This window comes from Homo sapiens, chromosome 18 (genome assembly GCF_000001405.40).
Source record: "Homo sapiens chromosome 18, GRCh38.p14 Primary Assembly".
Taxonomy (NCBI): Eukaryota; Metazoa; Chordata; class Mammalia; order Primates; family Hominidae; genus Homo; species Homo sapiens.
In genome coordinates, this window is record NC_000018.10 from 31512109 (window position 1) to 31535430 (window position 23322).

The 23322-nt window shown below is 37.9% G+C and overlaps 1 protein-coding gene across 2 annotated transcripts in view, besides 1 other annotated feature; it reads left to right on the forward strand.

The window, feature by feature from the left end:
• Nucleotides 1–23322, forward strand: part of DSG2 (desmoglein 2) — a 50832-nt gene that overhangs the window by 13932 nt on the left and 13578 nt on the right. For both annotated transcript variants that reach the window (XM_047437315.1, NM_001943.5), the window contains 9 exons: nt 6131–6166; nt 7695–7829; nt 8695–8856; nt 8991–9135; nt 9975–10141; nt 12340–12477; nt 12595–12780; nt 18879–19144; nt 23162–23304. In XM_047437315.1, the coding sequence (XP_047293271.1) occupies nt 9986–10141; nt 12340–12477; nt 12595–12780; nt 18879–19144; nt 23162–23304 (889 nt within the window). In that variant the 5' untranslated portion in view covers nt 6131–6166; nt 7695–7829; nt 8695–8856; nt 8991–9135; nt 9975–9985. The remainder of the gene's footprint in view (nt 1–6130; nt 6167–7694; nt 7830–8694; nt 8857–8990; nt 9136–9974; nt 10142–12339; nt 12478–12594; nt 12781–18878; nt 19145–23161; nt 23305–23322) is intronic.
• Nucleotides 4218–4761: an enhancer, noted in NCBI's record as "NANOG hESC enhancer chr18:29096289-29096832 (GRCh37/hg19 assembly coordinates)". NCBI's record gives its function as "activates a minimal SCP1, AML or CMV promoter by ChIP-STARR-seq in primed H9 embryonic stem cells {active_cell/tissue: H9 hESC(primed)}" and the evidence as "EXISTENCE:reporter gene assay evidence [ECO:0000049][PMID:30033119]".

Here is a 23322-nt window from a genome sequence, read left to right on the forward strand (position 1 = left end):
CTCCTATATCCAAAAGGCCATTCACACAGAACACATAAAAACGGCTCTTACCTCCCATTTCACCCCTCCCTCAACACCACCCCTGTCTCCTGCCTCACCTTCAGCTTACCCCATCCCTCTCCCCATTCTGTCTCATCTCTGGAAATGGTGCCTTCACTCACCCAGGTGTTCCGGGTCAAAATTCTAAGGGTCATCTATATTTGCCCTCATTCATTCCATTCACAGGTCTCTGTTGCCTCTGCCTTCAAAATAAACACTGGAGATATCTACTTTCTTTCATCTTTACTGCAACTCCCAGGGTTTAAGCTAGTGTTATGTATTGCACGTGCTTCTGCAATGATGCAATGACTACAGTCTGGTCTCTATACATTTGTTCTTGCCACTTTATGGCCTGTTCTCCATACAGTAGCACCAGCGAGCTTTTTCAAACATAAACTGGTTGTATCATTTCCAAACATAAAAGCTTCCAGTGGCTTCCTCTCACACTCAGGATAAAACCCAAAGTCCTCTCCCTGACTGGGTACTGGCCTATCCCTGTGACATCATCATCACTGATTCACCACCGCATGGCCTGGGCGTTCCTTTTGCAGGGCTCTGCCTGACTGGCTTCCTCATACCATTCACGTCTCTGTGCAGATGCAGCCCCTTCTGAGAGTTTTCCCACACTTCCAAGTCACTCTCTACTATCCTGACCCTGCTTTAATTTTTTTTATTGCTCTTATCAAAACCTGGTCTGTCTTTGTCTCCCCAGTATGTAAGCATCCAACAGGGTAAGAATATTGTGTTACTTAACATATCCTACAAGCTCAGGAAATTGAGGGTATGAATTAATTCAAACTTGCAGAAATTTTAAGATAAGGACCATGCAAAACTTAGAATTGAGGAAATGTCTCATAAATTCTGTTTATTGAATGCCAGTCACTGCAATAGTTACATTTCATATATTTCTTTAATTTGCACATCAGCCCTGCAAAATGGATGTATCCTAGTTAGGTGGCTTTCAGATGCAAGTAACAAAACCCAACTAAAACTAGGTTAAAGAAAAGAATGTTGAATATCAATCGTAAGAAAAAGTTTAGAGAGAGAGTTGGTCCAAATTTGAACGATTCTGTAACTTAAAGCCTTTATGGTTTCAGTTTGGCTTCTCTAGCATTTCATTAGCTTTCCCCTCATGGTCACAGCATGGCTGTAGCTATTCCAAATGTCACCTCCTCACTCAACAGTCTCCAGAGGCACTTAAATAGGAAGGTTATGCATGTGCTTCTCTTCTAATCAGTGAGGAGAATCTTTTGTAGGGTCTCCTGATACCTCATTGACCAAAATTCTCTTACACATTTATGCCTAAACCAGCCAATATCAAAGTAAATGGGCATACATACCATGCTTTGTCATGCCAGTCATTCAGCTCCATGAGCTAGGCAGGGTCTACCTGAGAGTACAAAGTAGAGTTTTATGAACACTGAAGATGAGAGAAAATGCCAATAAGCTAGACAATTGAAAATGTCTGCCACAGTATGTATTACTCTCCTGTTACAGATAAGGAAATTCAGACTAAAGCATCTTGTCTGGCAGGATCTCCTCCCCGCTTCCCTCTGCCCTGAGGATGGGTTAGACTTAATGACTCACTCCCAAAGAATGGAATAGGGACTGGGAAAAATAGTAACTTTACAACGGAGAAACTGCAATCAGTACCTTAGCCAGTGGTGTCATGTGGCTATTGCACACCAGCTAGTATGGTGTGACAGAAAGGGCACTTCAGCTCTGTGATGTTCTTTCCAAAAATGCATAATACTGATCTAATCGTGAGAAAAACAACAGATAAACCCAAATTGGAGGACACTGTGCAGGATACTCAGCCAGTATTCCTCAAAACCGTCAAGGTCATGAGAAACAAAGACTGGGAAAGTGTCAAAGACCAGAGGATATAAAGGAGAAGTGATCACCAAATGCAATGTGGAATCGTAGATTGGATCCTGGAACAGCAAAAGAACATTAGTGGGGGAAATGGTAAAATCAGAATAAAGTATGGAATTTAGTTAACAGTGCATTAACTAAATGCACCAATGTTAATCTCTTAATTTTGACAAATGTACAGCAGCTATTTAAGATGTTAACATATGAGGAAATTGGAGAAAGGAACTGCTGGTACTATCTTTGCAACATTTCTGTAAATCTAAAACTATTCCTAAGTAAAAACATATTTTAAAAGAAATGTGTGCTAGGTAATTGTTGAAACTGGATGTTAGCTATATGGGTGTGCATGTTACTATTCACTCTGCTTTTATACATGTTTGCAATTTAAAGTGATTTTAATGTTAAAAATACATACATTAATGAAATATATTTTATGAGTTTCTGCCTTCGAGATACTAGCAGTCAAGAGTAACAAAAATTCTTGTGCTGACTACTGAAACAACAATGGATAAGGCAGACTTCATTGACTGTTGTTTGTACCTAAACAAACAAATGATATTTCATGTCACATTCTACAATCTTGCTCCTCAAAATTTGGTCTGAGAACCCACAACATTGCTATCATCTGAAACCTTGTTAGAAATGCAAAGTGTAAGGCTGACCTCTAGACCTACTGAATTGGAATCTTCCTTTTAACAAGGTCCCCAGTGAACAAAATACACATTAAAGTTTAAGAAGCACTGTTGGTAACCATGTGATTTTCTGCATTTCTGAGCAAATCACATCTAGAAAGTAAATTCCAATAAAAATCAGTGAAGATGCTCATATGATGAATTTACGTTTGACTAGAGGACTGTAAATTACTTCCGTTTTCTTATATCCTAGTAAAACACATGACACTTGGTCAGAATAATAATATTTACTTAAAATAACATGTAAATTATACCCTCTTGCTAGGGCCGGTAAGATTGTAGGGAAGAATAAAAGTAGCAAATATTCAGTGCAGCCAACTACTTAATATGGCCTGTATCAAAGAGAAGAGTCTGATGGTTAGAAGGATGGGCAAGAAATATATTAAATTTTTTTGTTTGTTTGTTTGAGACAGAGTCTCACTCTGTCGCCCAGACTAGAGTGCAGTGGCGCGATCTCGGCCGACTGCAAACTCTGCCTCCCGGGTTCACGCCATTCTCCTGCCTCAGCCTCTCGAGTAGCTGGGACTACAGGCACCCACCACCACGGGCAGCTAATATTTTTTTGTATTTTTAGTAGAGACAGGGTTTTACCGTGTTAGCCAGGATGGTCTCGATCATCAGACCTCATGATCCGCCTGCCTCGGCCTCCCTAAGTGCTGGGATTACAGGTGTGAGCCACTGTACCCGGCCTAAATATACTAAATTTTAAGGCTGTTCCCTGATGATGTGGACACTGGGACCTCTCTGATCCAGGCACTGATCTTTCTCTTCAAAAATTCCCACCCAAGGAACATGCAGAGAGAAGTGATCTATCTCAGCATTGCTTTCCCTTGCTTTTCATACCATGCCACCTTTGAAAATACATAAATTTGGGGAGCACCACTTTGGTTAGAGACATCTCTGGCCATTGCTAGCTGGGCAAGTTAATAGTAGACAGAATGAAGAAGAGATCATAGATCTGATCATAAAATAGAGAATTAGCCATGATTGTTCATCTGCCCCAGAGAAGCCCACACTAGAAGCTGAACATCTGCTCTCCTTGAGTTTCTCTTTGGAATGGAGAGCCAAGAACATGAACTGACAATGGAAAGGAAAGAAAGAGGCTGAAAGATTCACTTGTGGAATGGACCCTACAGGAAGCTTTCAAATGAATGCAAAGGATGTGAAAGAGACTTTGAAATTTTAGGGAATGCCTTGTTTCCCATGATGTACCAACTAGGGCTTTGTGGATCCATGTGACCATGCAGATGGGAAAAGGCAAACAACTGAGAAAAGCTACACCAAAGACAGAGTCCAGTGAATTAATGCATAAATGGAAGGTGGAGTAGTGGGAGCAATACATATAGACAATAATTTCAATTTGGAATTATAAGTAAGAGAGGGATATAGAGCAATAGATTGTTAACAGAAACAAGAGAGGGATCTGGTTTTTTTTTTAAGATAAGGAAAACCTAAATATATTTGGTTTGCCAATCAGAAGGAAATAAATGTATTGATTAGCCAATGGAGAAGGAAGATAAAAGGTTAGTGGAAGGATTAAGGTTCTTGAAGATAAATGTGGGAGAACAAATAGAGTTGCAAATAAAGCACACAAACGATGGTTTGCCTTGGAAAGGAGTCAGGACACCTCTTCTGTGGGGAAAGAAGGGAAGGAGAGGATGACTGAAGATAGTCTCAGTCAAATAATACATGGGGTCATCTCATAAGAGTGAATAGGTACAGAGGTGTGACTAGAGTCATCTCCTAAAGTTTGGAATGCCTATTTTAGAAATGCAATAAGGGTAAGGCAATGACAAAGTGACGATATAATTTATAGTGTGAGCACACTTTTGAGGATGAAAGGGTTGTTAACAGATGGAATGCCTCACAGCAGGTGTCAACCTAGACTCTTCTGAGCAAATGCAGACATATGGTCACACTAGAAAGGAACCGCCACCCCATGGAAAGAGCAGCTATTTGAGAGCATGAATGTGTAAGGGATCTATTCAGCCACTGTGGCCTCCTCTAGCGATATTGCCAGTACATGGTCAGAACTAAAGAGAATAATAGGTTTCTAGAGTTGAGAGGAAAAGTGAGGCAGGAATAGCAGTCATGAAAATGAAGCCTCCCTGGTGGTCACTGACAACATCTTCAGAGTGGCAGGCAGCAGTCTGCTAGCTGCTCCGGTAGAACTGTGTGCAGCGGTGGAAATGTTTTCTGTCTGCCCTGTCCAAATGGGTAGCCCTTAGCACATGTGGCTGTGGAGCAACTGGATTATTCATTTCAAATAATTGCGGTTAAAATCCAAATAGCCACAAGTAGCTACCATATTAGAAAGTGCTGGTTCAGATTGAGCCAAGAGAAGAAGGAAGCCAGCAGGGAGATTAATGAACTATAAGGAAATCCTGCCATTTGCAGCAAAACAACATGGCTGGAAGTGGAGGTCATTATGTTAACTGAATAAGCCAGGCACAGAAATACAAATACAACATCTTCTCACTTATATGTGGGAGCTAAAAGTTTTGATCTCATGGGCATCGAGAATAGAATGATAGAATCCAGAAACTGGGAAAGGTAGTGGGGAGGTGGGGGAAGAAAAGAATTGATTAATGGGTACAAATATATGGTTTGATAGAAGAAATAAGACCACTAGTTAGAAATAAGTACACTAGTTCGATAGATCAGCAGGGTGACTATAGTTTACAATAACCTATTATACATATCAAAGCAGCTAGAAGAGAATTATTTAAATGTTTCTAGCATAATGAAAAGACAAGTATTTAAGGTAATTGACATCCCAAGTATACTAATTATCTTTACAAATTATATGAATGTATTAAATTATCACATGTATTCCAAAACTATGCACATCTTTAATGCATCAATTTTTAAAATTATTATTTTACAGTGCAAAATATTCAGAAAGCAAGATGGGAGTTTTTTGGGCAAATTTAAGAGTAAGCATAACTGTATTTAGAACAGTACTAGGTCATGATGAAGTCCCAAGTGTGACAGTGCCTATGAAGAACCAAAGAAAAGAGTTGGTGGGACTGAGGATGCTGAGGAACCGAGAAGTCAGAACATGGGCTGTCCGTGTGTGTGTGGTGTGTGTTTTTTTGTGTGTGTATAATGCACACACATCCATAGGGATGGTGGGAGTTAGCTGGGTGTGGGGTACATTACATACTGGTGGCCTCGAGGAAAAGTAAGCAGGTCCTGGAGAACACAAGATAAAAACCATAGGATGCGGAGTAAAGGATGAGAGAATGTCTAAGATTTCACAAGGCAGATTATTTTGTTTGTTTTTTAAGATACTGTTTTCTGGAGGAGTCAGTATGGATCCAGGAGAATATAGATTTCTCCTCGGGCACTTCCCATTAGGGAAGGCAATGGGAAAAATTAGTTTCCTCTTGACAAAGAATAGTAGTAGTGGTTAAACTTTTTTTATGTCTATAATATTCAATGCAGTAGGTTATTCATGAACAATGTTTTCACACTGAATTGAGCAGTAAATTGGCTAAATATCAAATAATTTTATTTTACAGATCTGCTTTAACGTTGGAAGTGGACTTCACTTACAGGTGAGGAAACAAAGGGATTATTTCTGCCTTCTGACTCAGGAGGGTTAATTCCATGGCAAACAGGTTGACTGGGCTTTACTAGATTGAAGACACATGTTGTATTAGACCCAGCCATTCCCATTCAAACAAGTGCAGAGGAGCTTATCCAGGGGTATTCAGTGCAGCAGTTTTTGACAATGTAAATATCCACCAATAGGTGAATGTTAAAACCATTTATGGTACATGAAAGAATGTCCATGACGAGGTGCTGAATGAAAATCGGGGCAAAATAAGATATATAGTGTAAGTCCATTTTTATAGCAAAAAGACCTTTATGCATCTGTGTATATATGTGCAACTGTATAGTTATGAAAAATCATAAAAGATATTAATCAAGCTGTTAATGAATACTTTGTGAGGTATAAATGAAAAAGTAATTTCAATTTTTTGTCATAGAAAATTTTGTTCAAGTAAAAAAAAAAATCAATGACCTAGTGATAACCAGAGTACATATTTTGAAGTAAAATACCTATTACATAGAGCAACAAAATGAGTAAAATGATAAACCAAACCTAGTATAAGGATTATTTCTGATCTTAAGATCCCAGGTCAGCTGTATTGAAATTTCCCTTGGATAAAATATATATTCACCTGTAAAACCCAACTGGAAATTTATAGAATGGTTTTCTGCCTAAGGTTCTGAAAATGAAATGGGAAATTTAATTCTTTACCCAATCCTGAAAACAATAAATTCATTAACTGGCAGTTTCCCTGGTTTTAGTCAAGTTTATATCAATAGATTACTAAGATTTAGCCTTAAAAAACATTTAGTAATTTATTTTTAAACCACAAACCACCACAGAAAAATGAAACTTCATTTTCAGTTAATAAGAAAAAACGTTTTTGACATGATCTGTTATTTTTTACTTTGCCAATTTGTAAGGCTACTAAATGATTCTTTAAACTTTTCAAACTCTCACTCTGGGAAATCATTTCTTACAGTTAAAAACAAAATTCTACTGTCTGGGCACAGTGGCTCACACTTGTAATCCCAGCACTTTGGGAGACTGAGGCGGGCGGATTGCTTGAGGCTTGAGTCTAGGAGTTCAAGGCCAGCTTAGGCAACATGGTGAAACCCCATAGCTACTAAAAATACAAAAATTAGCCAGATGTGGTGGTGCATGCCTGTAATCCCAGCTTCTTAGGAGGCTGAGGCAGGAAGATGGCTTGATCCGGGGAAGTCAAGGCTACAGTGAGCCAAGATCATGCCACTGCACTCCAGCCTGGGTGACAAAGCAAGACCCTGTCTCAAAAGAAAAAATAAACCAGAAAAAACCCTACACTTTTACTAGCTTGGAGACAATCTCTTGAGGCCCTATGCAGTTTGCTAGAATATATATATTCCCTTTTAGACAATGAAGCCTCATAGGAAATACGAAGCATACCTTAAAATTTGCACTATTTAAAAGTTTATTATGTTATAGGACAGCATACTAATGTTCTATATTTATGACACATAATAAATTTTGGCAATATTCTATTGTTATAGGTCTTAAGCACAAGAAATGAAAATAAGCTGCTTCCTAAACATCCTCATTTAGTGCGGCAAAAGCGCGCCTGGATCACCGCCCCCGTGGCTCTTCGGGAGGGAGAGGATCTGTCCAAGAAGAATCCAATTGCCAAGGTACCTCCTAAAGAGGAACATGAAATACATGCATATGACTAAAATGTGGTGTGAGAGGACTTTTATGTCTACTTTAAGATTTAAGGAAAATGTATGATGTGCTTACAGAATTTTTAAATATTCAAGATATATCTGAAAATTAGCAGAGCTTACTTTTTAGCATAAAGTATCAACTTTAAGATTCTCTTTCCCATTCCGGAAGATGCAGCATCATTGGCAAAAATATAGATAACTTTGAGTTTTGATTTAACTAAGAGTAAAGGGATTTGGCACTGGTAACACAAAATGTTCAGTGCTCAAAAGAGGATGTCATAAAATGTCATTTTCAAGATGAACTGGTGTCTATTACTAGGTAGGGGGACCATCTTCATCTGCCTGAGACAGTCGTGGTTTATGCCTGCTCTCCTGGCTTAATAATTAATATCTGTGTTTTCACTCTCAAGGGGTCCAATTTTTTTGATAAATTATGTGATAGTGTTGCTACTCTATATTTCAAAGTTGGCATGCACAAACATAAACCCTTCATTTTTTTCCCCCCAAAGCTTTTCTTCATAAGTTCTACCCATTTTGGTAATTGATGCTATAATTCTCTCCAGTTTTTCAAGCCAAAAATGTACCACACACTATCAGTTCTATTCCAAAAATATATTCCAAATCTGCTGCTTCTCTTCAACTCCACTGCCATTCCCCTAGTCCAAGTCATGTCATCTCTGGCCTGTATTACCAAAGAACTTCAGAAGGAAATTGTCCATAAAAATATTTACCTGTAAATTATAGAGAATCACTTCTTAGGCTTTTGGCTAAGATCAAATCTAGTAAATTACAGAGAGTTCAACCTGAAACATTCCTGTTATTTTTATGTTAGATACATTCTGATCTTGCAGAAGAAAGAGGACTCAAAATTACTTACAAATACACTGGAAAAGGGATTACAGAGCCACCTTTTGGTATATTTGTCTTTAACAAAGATACTGGAGAACTGAATGTTACCAGCATTCTTGATCGAGAAGAAACACCATTTTTTCTGGTAAGAAGAATAATTTTAGATTTATTAGTTTGTAGTTTTTCTGTCATAATAAGTGTCATTTGTTTTATTTTTTCATAGTATGGTAATTTAGTTTTCTTAGCTTAAATCTAATCTTATTTATGTCATGATTTCAGCTAACAGGTTACGCTTTGGATGCAAGAGGAAACAATGTAGAGAAACCCTTAGAGCTACGCATTAAGGTTCTTGATATCAATGACAACGAACCAGTGTTCACACAGGATGTCTTTGTTGGGTCTGTTGAAGAGTTGAGTGCAGCACGTAAGAGTCTTTTTTTTTTTTTTTAATAAATAAATACCTAAGATTACTTTATCCCCACTGTAAATAAACACTAAATTTCATATCTTAATGAAAGTTGAGTATTACCTACAGAACAAATGATAAGAAAGCAGTTCAGAACTGCTTTCCTTATAGGTTTAAAGGACTTTACATGCCATTGCTTTTACCCTCAGAACAGATAGGGTAGATTAATGTGATGGATAAGGTCTCTGTAGCAACTACTCAACTCTGCTATCTGCAGGAAAGCACCATAGACAATATGTAAACAAATGAGCCTAGCTGTGGTCCAATAAAACTTCATTTACAAAAACAGGTGGCTGGTTAGCTTTGGCCCTACAGCTTTGGCTATAGTTTGCTGACCTGTAAGTTGTATTATTTTTACTGTAATATTTATTCACAACATTGTTCAACACAGTGCTCTTCATGAGGACCCGAATGAGAGATTTCTTTTTGACCATGATGTAAGGAATAGTTACGCTTCTCCTGATTTGTTTGTATCTTAATAGATATCAGGATCATGTACCTGCTCATGTTACTTTCTTTGTATTGGCTACTAATACTATTATAAACAAATCTGTGCCCTTATACAGCAATTTTTCAGGACTCTACCCTCAGCCTTGCCTTCATCTTGTTTTTACTATTGTTATATCCCATTCACGCTTATGTCCTCATCCAGTTAAATGTTATATTGTGGTCAACTGTATGTGATTTTGATAAGCACCTGAAATCTTTTTTGGAACAAGCTAAAATTATAAATAAAATAACAGGTAAATATGCTTAAAGTTGAATTTCATCTTAGACATCTTTATTTCTAATGCCAGATACTCTTGTGATGAAAATCAATGCAACAGATGCAGATGAGCCCAATACCCTGAATTCGAAAATTTCCTATAGAATCGTATCTCTGGAGCCTGCTTATCCTCCAGTGTTCTACCTAAATAAAGATACAGGAGAGATTTATACAACCAGTGTTACCTTGGACAGAGAGGTAAGTTAATATGTTATGTTGCCCATCTTTAAACTCTCTATCCTTTCCAGTTTCTCCTCTCTTTTTCTTTTCTAATTTTCTTATTTTGTTCTGTATTCCTTATCCATAGGATAACTCTTGGAATTACTCTCTTTTAGGGATGTGCTGTCCAATATGGGCCATGTGACTATTGAGCACTTAAAATGTGACTGGCCCAAATTGTAATGTGCTGTATGCACGTTGAATGTGTAATATATGCACCAGATTTGAAAAACTTAATATGAAAAATGCAAAATATGACCTTAATGTTTTTTGTGATCATTGCATGTTAAAATAATATTTTAGATATCATAGATTAAATAAAATATACTTGTTTAAAATTGTTATCATGTGTTTCTTTTTAAAATGTGGCTACTAGAAGATTTAAAATTACATAAAAACAGCACCATTCTAGGGCCTCTCCTATCAGGGTTCTGTTTACTAGAGGTTCCTAAAACATTTCTCAGTTTGCAGTTCTCTAATGAAACATTAGGAGGCTCCTCCACGGCTAGTACGTAGGAGGCAGTGAGGAAAGGGATGAAAATAGGAATCCTAGTTAGAGAATAAAAGTATCTGTAAAGGAGAGAATTACTCTAAATCCCAAATTGAAGGAAAGTTTGAGTAGGTTTACTAGGAAGGCATTTCTCTCGAACATTTCACTTTATTATTTCTAACTGAAAGGGAAATTTTTAAATAAAAAGGGGAGATAGAAGATTTTTTAAATGCTGTATACATAAAGGTTTTAACAGCGTACAAGAGTAAAATGTGGTTGATCATAAAGTACACTCTTTGTCATCAGATATAAATCATCATCCAAGTGCACTACGTTCAGTATTTCTTAGAGAAATGATTGGCCGGGCGTGGTGGCTCATGCCTGTAATGCCAGCACTTTGGGAGGCTGAGGCGGGCAGATCACAAGGTCAGGAGATCGAGACCATCCTGGCTAACACGGTGAAACCCCATCTCTACTAAATATACAAAAAATTAGCTGGGTGTGGTGGCGGGCACCTGTAGTCCCAGCTACTCGGGAGGCTGAGGCAGGAGAATGGTGTGAACCCAGGGGACAGAGCTTGCAGTGAGCTGAGATCGCGCCACTGCACTCCAGCCTGGGCAACAGAGCAAGACTCCATATCCAAAAAAAAGAAAAGAAACATGATTTAATTCTGCCCAAATTGGAAGGACTGTGCCTAACAGGCTTAAGGGAATGTTTATAAAATTAAAGAATATGATTACACCTAAAATTCTACTCTATACCTTTTCACATAAAACTAGAATGGAAAAGTGTTACTTTGCATTAGTAGTGTGATTTTAAACAAGCTGCTATTTCTAAAGGACGGAAAGTTTAGCCAATAATAATGGCTGTTAACTTACTGGGCATTTACCTTCTGCCAGGTACTGTTCTAAGCCTTTTTATGGATTAACCTATTTAATCCACATAGAAACCCTGTGAGGCAGATTCACTTATTATCCTCATCTTACACATAAAGAACCCGAAGGTCAAAGCGAATAAGTGCATGTCCAACACAGTCAGTAAGTGACGATGCCAGAATTGGAACCCAGGCAGATGGCTCCAGGGTCCTGGTGTCCTGCTGTGCACTGAGTGGTTCTGCCCTATGCAGGACCCCAAGCACTGGCACTACCTGCCCTCCTAAATTCCAGCCACGCTGAACAGAACCATAGTAAGGGGACCTCATGGAAGAGAAGAAGTGACATCTGAGAAGCCGTTCTCTAGGACACATACTATAAGAATCAAATCTCTGGGGAATTCTGGACAAAGTTCACCCAGTTTTGCCTTCACTAACCAAGTTTATTTAGGACCAGCTTCTCCTCACTGAGAATGAAGTGCAGGACAGAAAGAACCAATTCCTACAGTTCCACCTCACTTTCAGTAGAGAATAAGCTACATTTTCAATAGTGGCTCCTTTGTGCAGACTATCTCCTGATAATATCACCAATGACTTATTGAAGAATTTGACTATCTACAACTCCCGAGGCTTTTCTGTTCTTCTGCAAAAGCTCTGACTGCAAGTAAATAGTATCTTCACACAAATAATAGCAGATCATAAAACAGATTTGTAAATAAAATATACTGTGGTACGTGATAAACTGGACTAAAACCAGAAAGCCAGATGTAAGAGTGACTCTTTTCACCCAGCTGGACATTTTTCATTGCTCTGCAGGAACACAGCAGCTACACTTTGACAGTAGAAGCAAGAGATGGCAATGGAGAAGTTACAGACAAACCTGTAAAACAAGCTCAAGTTCAGATTCGTATTTTGGATGTCAATGACAATATACCTGTAGTAGAAAATAAAGTGGTAACTATTATTCTTCTAATAACTGTACCTATTTATTTATATTTCAGTCCTAATTAAAAATATATCACTTATATTTGTATTTCATTGAAATAAAAATCATGTGTTCATGTTTTGCAGCTTGAAGGGATGGTTGAAGAAAATCAAGTCAACGTAGAAGTTACGCGCATAAAAGTGTTCGATGCAGATGAAATAGGTTCTGATAATTGGCTGGCAAATTTTACATTTGCATCAGGAAATGAAGGAGGTTATTTCCACATAGAAACAGATGCTCAAACTAACGAAGGAATTGTGACCCTTATTAAGGTAAGTACTAAGTATTCAAAACTGGCGTGGGCCAAGTTGGTGCTGGAAAGGAATCTAATATATTTTGAGCCCTGAACACTTAAAAGTGCTTTACATATTCAATTAACTAGCACTACAGTTGTTTGAGAAAGGAGCCATCCCTATTTGCCCAAGTTCTGTGGTTAGGAAGTGGTCACACTATGGTTCAAATTCATATCAGGGGACTCTAATCCTAGCCAGACAGCATGGTACCACCATCATTACTGCTTAGCTCATTTCCAGGCTTTCTTGCAGCTCATACCTGGCGATCACATTCTCACATCACAATCTCTTGCCTCTACTGAGTATCCCCTCAATTACTACCTCTGATTTTATCTACTTAAGAGTAAAGCCAGCCCCACACTTTGAGAAGCCAAGGCAGGCAGATAGCTTGAGCTCAGGAGTTCGAGACCAGCCTGGACAACATGGCAAATCCCCGCTTCTACGAAAAAAAATACAAAAATTAGCTGGGCATGGCGGCACATGCCTGTAGTCCCAGCTACTAAAGAGGCTTAGGTGAGAGGATAGCTTGAACCCAAGAGGCGGAGGCTGCAGTGAGCCGTGGTCACACTGCTGCACTCCAGCCTGGGCAACAGAGTGAGACCCTGACTCAAAAAAAAAAAAACCCCGAAACAAAACCAGTAAACCCAGGCCTCACTAATAACATCTAAAAATAAAAGCTGTGATAACTTGATAGTTAAGTGTGCCTAAGAATCACCTCATAAAACTGCATGCCAAAAATGTAGGTTCCTGGTCTCATCAACAAAAAGTTTCATTGGGCAGGTTTCAGGAACTTGTCTTTTTAGCAAAAATCCACTTGTGATTCTAATATTAGTATGAGGCTCACATTTGGAAATACAGTATACTAAGTTCTTGTGCTTAATTGAGTCAATGGAGGGAAAATTGAACTAAATAGGGATATTAAGCATTTATGTCGAATTACAGGATGGGCCGGGTGTGGTGGCTCAGGCCTGTAATCCCATCCCAGCACTTTGGGAGGCCGAGGAGGGCGGATCACGAGGTCAGGAGTTCGAGACCAGCCTGGCCAACATGGTGAAACCCCATCTCTACTACTAAAAATACAAAAATTAGCCAAGCGTGGTGGTGCATGCCTGTAATTCCAGCTTCTCAGGAGGCTGAGGCAGGAGAATCACTTGAACCTGGGAGGCGGAGGTTGCAGTGAGCCAAGATCGTGCCATTGCCCTCAAGCCTGGGCAATAGAGTGAGATTCCGTCTCAAGAAATATAGGTAAGGAATAATATCAGTGTATTTTAAGTAGCTTATATTAGAATTGCCTTACCAGATTTTAAAATAAAATGCAAAGCTACAGTTCCAAAATACTATTTCATTAAATTACACATAGGCAAAAATTGATTCCAGAAGTTTCGAAATTCTTATGAAAACTTAATATATAACAGACTGGGTAAAACTCTGACAGTGGAAAGAGGAATAATGGTGATATAAATGTATAACAGAATAGGGAAGAATTAACTTGAGGTTTCATGATAATTGAGCACCACTTATTGACAGCTACTATATGCATTTAAGCTACCTTTTTAAAAGCAGAGTAAAATTGAGTAGCATTACCTCATGTTTAAAGAGAAGAACTCATGATTATTGAAGAAATGGATCATGTCATTCGAGACAAAATCAGTTTATCTGCTTGTGTCATCAATTTTTAAGCCATCAATTTATAGGTATGACCACGCCAGATACCTGAGATAGAAAAGCCAATTATACACGCAAGGAGAAACAGTCAGATATTGATGAATGACAGAGGTGCTAGCATAGAATTGTCATGTGCCACATACGAACGTTTCAGTCAGTGACAGACTACATATATGACGATGGCCCCGTTAAATTATCATGGAGCTGAGAAATACAGAGTAAGGATGTAAAGAAAAAAAATATTTTTGTGTAGCTGCACAGTGTGTTTGTGTCTTAAGCTAAGGCTCATTACAAAAGAGTCAAAAAGTTAAGAAAATATTTAAAAGTTTATAGAGAAGTTATGGTAAGCTAAGCCTAATTTATTATTGGAGAAAGAAAGTTTCATTTTTTTTTAAATTTAGTGTCACCTAGGTACAGTATTTACAAAGTCTGCAGTAGTGTACAGTAATGTCTTAGGCCTTCATATCCATTCACTCACTCACTCAGAGTAACTTTCAGTCTTGCAAGCACCACTTATGGTGAGTGCTCTATACAGCTGTACCATTTTTCAAATCTTTACTATCATATTTTTACTATACCTTTTCTATGTTTAAGCATGTTTAAGTACACAAATACTATTATATTATAATTGCCTACAATATTCAGTACAGTAACATGCTATACAGGTTTGTAGCATAGGAGCAATAGGCTATACCATATAGTGTAGGTGTATAGTAGGCTTTACCATCTAGGTATGTGTGAGTTCACTCTGTGATGTTTGCACCTCAACAAAATTGCCTAACTGCATTTCTCATTTCTCAAATCATTAAGCAATGCATGACTGTATTTTTAGTGTACTATGATAGCACAAAAAAAGGGATATAGTTATTTCTATCAAGAGGGATGTGGATAAAAAAACAATAAAATGAGTATTACAGTGAAAGCAACCGAGTGAGATAATTACAAAGTCATTGTCTCAATTATGTAATGAATTGCTTCCAAATTATAAGGGCAGCAATCGGATTCCATCGAAAGGAATTTAGACAAAAAAGATATACAAGTAGCAAATACCCACGTGAAAAGGTGCCAACATCATTACTCATTAGGGAAAATCAAATTAAAACTATAAGAGATACCACTTTACCTTCTAGAATGGCAGAAATGAATATCTTAGTCCGTTTGGGCTGCTACAACAAAATGCCATCATCTGGGTTGCTTATTAACAACAGAAATTTATTTCTCACAGTTCTGGAGGCTGGAAAGCCCAAGATCAAAGCAGATGCAGTGTCTGGGCAGGTCCCGCTTTCTGGCTTATACACAGTGCCTTCTTGTTGTATCATCACATAGTGGAACATCCAACAAGCTCCACTAGGCGTCTTTTGAAAGAGCATTGATCCCAGGATCTCCCAAAAGCCCCACTCTTAATATCATCACTTTGAGAGTCAGGATTTCAGCACGTGAGTTTTAAGGCGACACAAACATTCAGACAATAGCAATCAAAAAGATTGACAACACCAATTATTGGCAAAAATATAGAGAAACTGGATTGCTAGTGGAATTGTAACATGATGCAGGCAGTTTGACAGTTTCTTTTAAAAGTTACACAAGAGTAGTTATATGACCCAATGATTTGATTCTTAGGTTTCCACCCAAGAAAAATAAAAACAGGTCTATACAAAGACATGTATGCAAATGTTCATAGCAGCATTATTCATGATAATAAAAAAAACTAATAGCAGTCCAAATGTCCATCAGCTGGTGAGTAGATAAACAGAATGTGGTGTATTCATATGATGGAATACTAATGAGCAATAAAAAGGAATGAAGTACTGATACAAGCTACAACACGGATGAACCTCAAAAACATTATGCTATGGGCTGGGCACGGTGGCTCCCGCCTGTAATCCCAGCACTTTGGGAGGCCGAGGTTGGGGGATCACCTGAGCTCAGGAGTTTGAGACCAGCCTGGGCAACATGGTGAAACCCTGACTCTACTAAAACAAAAAATTAGCCAGGTTTGGTAGTGCATGCCTATAATTCCAGCTGCTTGGGAGGCTGAAGCAGGAGAATTGCCTGAACCCGGGAGGCAGAGGTTGCTGTGAGCCAGCATCACGTCACTTCATCCCAGCCTAAGAGACAGAGCAAGACTCCATCTCAAAAAAAAAAAAAAAAAAATTTGCTGATTATGCTATGTATAAGGAGCCAGACACAAAATAGTACATATTACATGATTCCATTTACTTGAAATTTCTAGAAAAGGTGAAACAATGGGGATAGAAAGCAGACTGGGATTGCTTGGAGTGGTGAGTCTGAGTGGGGACTGACTACAAACACATGTAAAGGAACTTTTGGGGGTGATGGAGTGTTCTAAAACTGGACCATAGTGATGATTGCAAATCCAGAACTCATCATGCTGTACACTTAAAATGGGCAAATTTTATTGTATATAAGTTATACCTGAATGAAGCTGTCCAAAAAGGATAAAGGAGATGAACGGATATTTTTAAATATGGAAATAGAGATAGTAAATAGTCACATGAGAAAAATTCACAGCTTTGTTAACAAATTAACAAATAAACTTACAATCTTTAATGTTATTAAAAAATAGCAAAAATGGAAATGATAAAATAAGTTTACAGAGTTGTAAAAAATAGAGGTCTATTCCCTCACACAGCGCTCTTGATACTGAAAATTTTCCATTTGCTTTGGAGCATTATGGCTATTTATGACTAACACTATGAAACACTTATGGCCCCAATACCTAGCTTTTATTTATTTATTTATTTTTTCATGGTCTTGGCCTTTGGATACTAATGACATCTGGCTGGAAGATTTTATTTCTCATCCGGCATATATCATGCCATCAAACAAGCATGTCAAGTGCAAGAGTGACTTAAATAAACTAACAAGCTTTCACAAAGATATTACAATCACAAAGGATGTATTTTCTCTAGTCTTTTTCTCCTGTGTCCTTGTCTCAACATCATAGTGATCCATATTTTTAAAGGGTGCAGAAGTTGTGATCCATCCAGAGCCCAATAGAGAGGAAAACTGACTGACTTATTTTGGTGAAAATAAGTAGTGGTAGCTCCAAAGGAAGGAAATTCACAATGAATTCTCCAAAACACAAGTGAAAAGCTTTGCTGTAATTCATGTAAACATGCCTAATATATTTAATTTTATACTGAAGAAACAAGCAAAAATGTTTAGTGCATCTAAATGGTCAGAGATACTGGAAATAAAAAGCAACAGGACCTAAGTAAACTTTAGGTAGTTCTTTTAGTAATAGGATATAGGTCAACAGAGGAAAAATAATGTGTATAAAAATGCTGAGAGCAGTATTAATTACATTTAGAAATTGTGATAGCCCAAATGCCTAATTATAGAATGACTGTCTATATCTAAGTAGTAGAATACTATGGAAATGTTTATAAAAAGAAACATTGAAAAGTTGGAACATAAAATATGTATACAGTAATGAACTGATTATTTCAAATGGAAATTGTGCTATTACAAAGAACTATTTGAAGAAAGGTTAATCTTTTATGGAATTAACAGCAAACCAGATATTAATAGGTATTATGCTAAAAAAGAGGAGAGTGGGGTTCTTTGTTTAAACAGATTTGAAAATCTCTAGGTTTCTTCTTTACTCCAGGAATTCAAGTATTTTAATATGCTAATGTGTAATATATAGCTATATTAGAGGGACAGAGCTCACAGAGCTACCACTACTTATTTTCACTAAAATAAACCCATAGAACACATTTTAAGGAATACTGATTTATACTGAATGCCCACTAATTTTTTACATTAGAAAAAAAATCACTTCAGATTGTTAAATATATATACACATATCTATAGATATGTGTGTGTGTATGTTTTGAGACAGGGTCTCACTTTATTGCCCAGGCTGAAGTGCAGTGGCATGATCATGGCTCACTGCAGCCTCAACCCTCTGGGCTCAAGCAATCCTCCCACCTCAGCCTCCTGAGTAGCTAGGACCACAGGCACGAGCTATCATGCACAGCTAATTTTTGTATTTTTTTGTACAGATGGGAACTCCCTATGTTGCCCAGGCTGGTCTCAAACTTCTGGGCTCAAGTGATCTACCTGCCTTGGCTTCCCAAAGTGCTGGGATTACAGGCATGAGCCACCATGCCTGAACAAAATATATATATATATTTACAGTAATTTCAACATTTAGGAAAATAAATTGGTAATACTTCCTAAACATCCTTAACATTTATGACTATCCAGATTGACAGAATTTTTATTTGCTTGGTGTCAGTATAAGAGTTGGACTATTCAGTGCTGCTATATTTCCTGTGCATTAAATTATTGTATCTAACATTAAAACCACACATGTATATGTATATGTATACATGTCTTCTGTTTTCTCTTTGAAAAGAATTCCCTTTGGTTTTCCCTTTCAGGAAGTAGATTATGAAGAAATGAAGAATCTTGACTTCAGTGTTATTGTCGCTAATAAAGCAGCTTTTCACAAGTCGATTAGGAGTAAATACAAGCCTACACCCATTCCCATCAAGGTCAAAGTGAAAAATGTGAAAGAAGGCATTCATTTTAAAAGCAGCGTCATCTCAATTTATGTTAGCGAGAGCATGGATAGATCAAGCAAAGGCCAAATAATTGGAAATTTTCAAGCTTTTGATGAGGACACTGGACTACCAGCCCATGCAAGGTAAGAGAGAGTGACACGTGTATTTCTTTATTTTAAATTATTTTCAGTGCCTATTTTCAAAAATCATAATCAAATCTGAACACTTCATTCCTTCAAATCCAGCATTATAGTTCCCCAAAGGTCTACAAGTTAAATTTTCCAAAGATGTGTCTATAACTGAGAGATGAGGGGGAATTTTCACCAGAATCCACCTTCTTCAACCACCTGTGTGTGAGGAGGAAGTTAGTTTACTCACCACTGAAACAGTTCTGGCTAGAGATGGCTAAAAAGCAACAAAGGAAAAGTTCAGGAAAAAACTTTTAAAAACCTGTCTTATTTCCTAAAAGATTATTATTGGAGGGTGAGAACGTAGCAGATAACATCCACAAGATTTACTTTATACAAGTTACATAATGTATTTTAATATGGGGAAACCAGCTTTACTTAACGCATATATCTTGGGAATGAATCTTCATTTAAACCTATTTGTTTCAGAGATTAATGAGCCTCCTACACTGTTTATGTTTGTCTTGATCATGGTGACCTTTACTCAGAGTACATTTATTGAGAACCTACAAGATGCTCACTGTGTTGGAAGAAACTAGTTTGTGTCCACTCTGTAGTGGCACCTTATTGTGTGATGCTTTCAAATTTTCAAAGTAAATTTACATCTTAGATCTCAGTGCCGTGCCACGGAAAGACCATTCTCTACAGAGCTGTTATTTATGGAGCTCTAGTTACTGTTACTGCAGTTGAATTTAAAGAATCCCCACCTGCTGTCCCAGACACAACTTTAGTGACTTCTTGCTCAGTGCCAGAGCTGCCTGGTTGCTTGAGTGTCCTTATACACCTGTGTCCCTGTCTTAGTCCATTTGAGCTGCTGTAATAAAAATACGTTAGACCAAGTAATTTATAAACAGCAGATTTGTTACTCACAGTTCTGAAGGCTGGGAAGTCCATCAAGGCACCAGCCAACAGATTTGGTATCTGGTGAGTCTTGCTGTCTGCTTCCAAGATGGCACCATCTTGCTGCATCCTCACGTGGCCAAAGGAACAAGGGAACTCACTGGAGTCTCTTTTTTAAGAGCACTAATTCCATTCATGAGGGTGGTGCCCTCATGACTTAATCACTTACCAAAGGCCCCACCTCTTAATATGATCATACTGCATATTAGACTCCAACATAAGAATTTCCGAGGGTTACAAACATGAAAATCATAGCAGTCCCTGTGTACCAGTGCTTCCTAAAACATTGTATTTAAGTGCATCGCCAAGTGTAGCAAGAATGAAAATGTGGAAGAAGCTCCTCAGCAACCTTTTTCCTTTTAGTGAATCGCCTTTTCATGGAATTCCTTAAATAACATTTTTTCCAAAGTAATGTTAACAAACAGCTTCCACCATATTTTCTGTAGTGCCTTGGTGACATTCTTTGGCCCACTATGGTCCTCTTGAGTTATGTGGTCTAGTTGGTCTAGTTTTAATTTTCTCAGCTCTATAACCTCACAAGACAGTATACCCAACTGAATTTACAAAATTGAGCATGAATTTTCTATATGATCATTTTTCACTGCTGTCTATGGAGAAACTTATATGTTCAAACTAATTATATACCAATAATATGTGGCCACTTATTGAAGCTTCTGTTTCCCACCAAATTATTGACTTTTGGCTGCTGTTTTGTTTGTTTGTTTGTTTGTTTGTTTGTTTAGGGGCCATGAATACATCAAAAGATTGTGTGTTCTGCCTGGAAGAATAATGAACCCTGCCTTTTTTATTTCTTAGTGTTTTATTGTATTCTTTAGAATGCAGTTACAGAATTTTAGAAAGAAAAGGTCTTAAAGACCAGCTCAAACCTATTATTTTACAGATAAGGAATGGAGGCACAACCAAGTTAAATTATTTTCCAAATGTTTACCTAACTAATTAGTGGTTGTTATTTTGAAACACTGATAAGGGGCTGGGTGTGGTGGGTTCATGCCTGGCATCTCAGCACTCAAGAATCCGAGGCAGGAGGATCACTTGAGGCCAGGAGTTCAAGACCAACCTGGGCAACACAGCAAGACCTTGTCTCTACAAAAAAAAATTTTTTTTTCAATTAGCCAGGCATGGTGGCACATGTTTGTAGTCCCCACTACTGGGGAGGCTTAGACAGGGGGATTGCTTAAGCCTAGGAGTTCAAGGTTCCAGCGAGTTGCCATCACACCACTGCATTCCAGACTGTTTGTCATAATTTACTGTTTTATTGATTATTCATGTGTATCAGCTGTTTACAGATATTTGATATAACATGTAAGCAGCTATGCTACTTGAATGATGTCTAGCTTTTACAACAGAGAACAGAAGATTTCTTAAATGAGATTAAGCAAACACATTGTGAAATGTAATCCCTATTTCTAAGACTCTGCCTTTATTATCAGTATGAATGTTGGTAAACCATAGACAGCAACTTATGTCTAAGCTTTAAAATTTCAGACATGAAATTCAAAACTAATTGTGAAAATCAAAATGTATTATTATTTACTGGTAGCAGTATTAAGAGGCAGAAAAATTTAGTTCAAGTGTATAATTGGAAATAGCACTAAAAATAAATATTGCTATAAATTAGCCACTCATTCCTGTGTGCCTCGAAGCCACTTAATAGAAAATAAATTAACAATTTGATTGAGCAAACCAAGATACTCATATGTTTGGTTGGTACTGGTATTTTTATGTTAAACTCATTGGTATTCATTAACTAATTACATACATTTCTTTTTTTTCTTTTTTTTTTTTTTTTTGAGACTGAGTCTTGCTCTGTCACTCAGGCTGGAGTGCAGTGGCACGATCTCGGCTTACTGCAACCTCTGCCTCCCGGGTTCAAGCAGTTCTGCTTCAGCCTCCCAAATAGCTGGAATTACAGGTGCCCACCACCACACCCAGATAATTTTTGTATTTTTAGTAGAGATGGGGTTTTAACCTGTTGGTCAGGCTGGTCTTGAACTCCTGACCTCAGGTGGTCCATCCAACTCGGCTTCCCGAAGTGCTAGGATTATAGGTGTGAGCCACCATGCTTGGCCAGTTACATACGTTTCTGAAAACATAATATGGACATTTGCCTTGCTCTCCCAGCATTGGCTCCTTCCACACTAATTCTCCTTGCTTTGAGGGAAGAAACCCAGAAACGATTTTATCGGCATTGTTTCCACTTTTAACCAGTTCTGCCTGAAAGAAAATTATTACCCCAATAATCAACAGTATCAGAAAATTTGTAGATGCTTCCGTTTAAAATGATCATTGATTTTTTTTTTTTTTTTTTTTGAGATGGAGTTTTGCTCTGTCACCCAGGCTAGAGTGCAGTGGCGCGATCTCGGCTCACTGCAACCTCCACCTCCTGGGTTCAAGCAGTTCTCCTGCCACAGCCTCCTGAGGAGCTGGGATTACAGGCACGTGCCACCATGCCCGGCATTTTTTGTGTTTTTAGTAGAGACGGGGTTTCACCATGTTGACCAGGCTGGTCTCAAACTCCTGACCTTAAGTGATCCACCCGCCTCAGCCTCCCAATGTGCTGGGATTACAGGCGTGAGCCACCGCACCTGGCCCCTGCGATCATTGATTTTTAAAGTTGATGTTTGTAAATGTTGCTAACGCCCCCAATAAACAACAGAACATAAGACTGCTCTTCTCCACCAGTGCTTATTGTATAACTAAGTTATTCCCCAAAAGTTTAACCCAACTTTAAGGGACACTAAATCAAATGCCATAGGACAGACTGCAGAGCAACTTAAAAACTTGAGTTAGTGGTTAGTGGGCTCAAGAGAATCACCCTTAATTTTATGTCTTGGGTATGTTGCAGGAATAAGAAAGGTCCAATTTAAGTGTGACATGCAGTAAAGAGAGGGGCTTTTAGGATGGTTTTGCAAAATTAAAAACATTCAAAACAAATGCCTGTAATAAGAACATATTTAAAGAGAAGAAAAGTAAGCTTGAAAGAGCTGTAGATGTTAGAGGTTTCCAATTCATGCAGAATTCAAAATTAATTTTATGTTTGTTTTATGACAGATATGTAAAATTAGAAGATAGAGATAATTGGATCTCTGTGGATTCTGTCACATCTGAAATTAAACTTGCAAAACTTCCTGATTTTGAATCTAGATATGTTCAAAATGGCACATACACTGTAAAGATTGTGGCCATATCAGAAGGTAAGTTATTAAATAGAT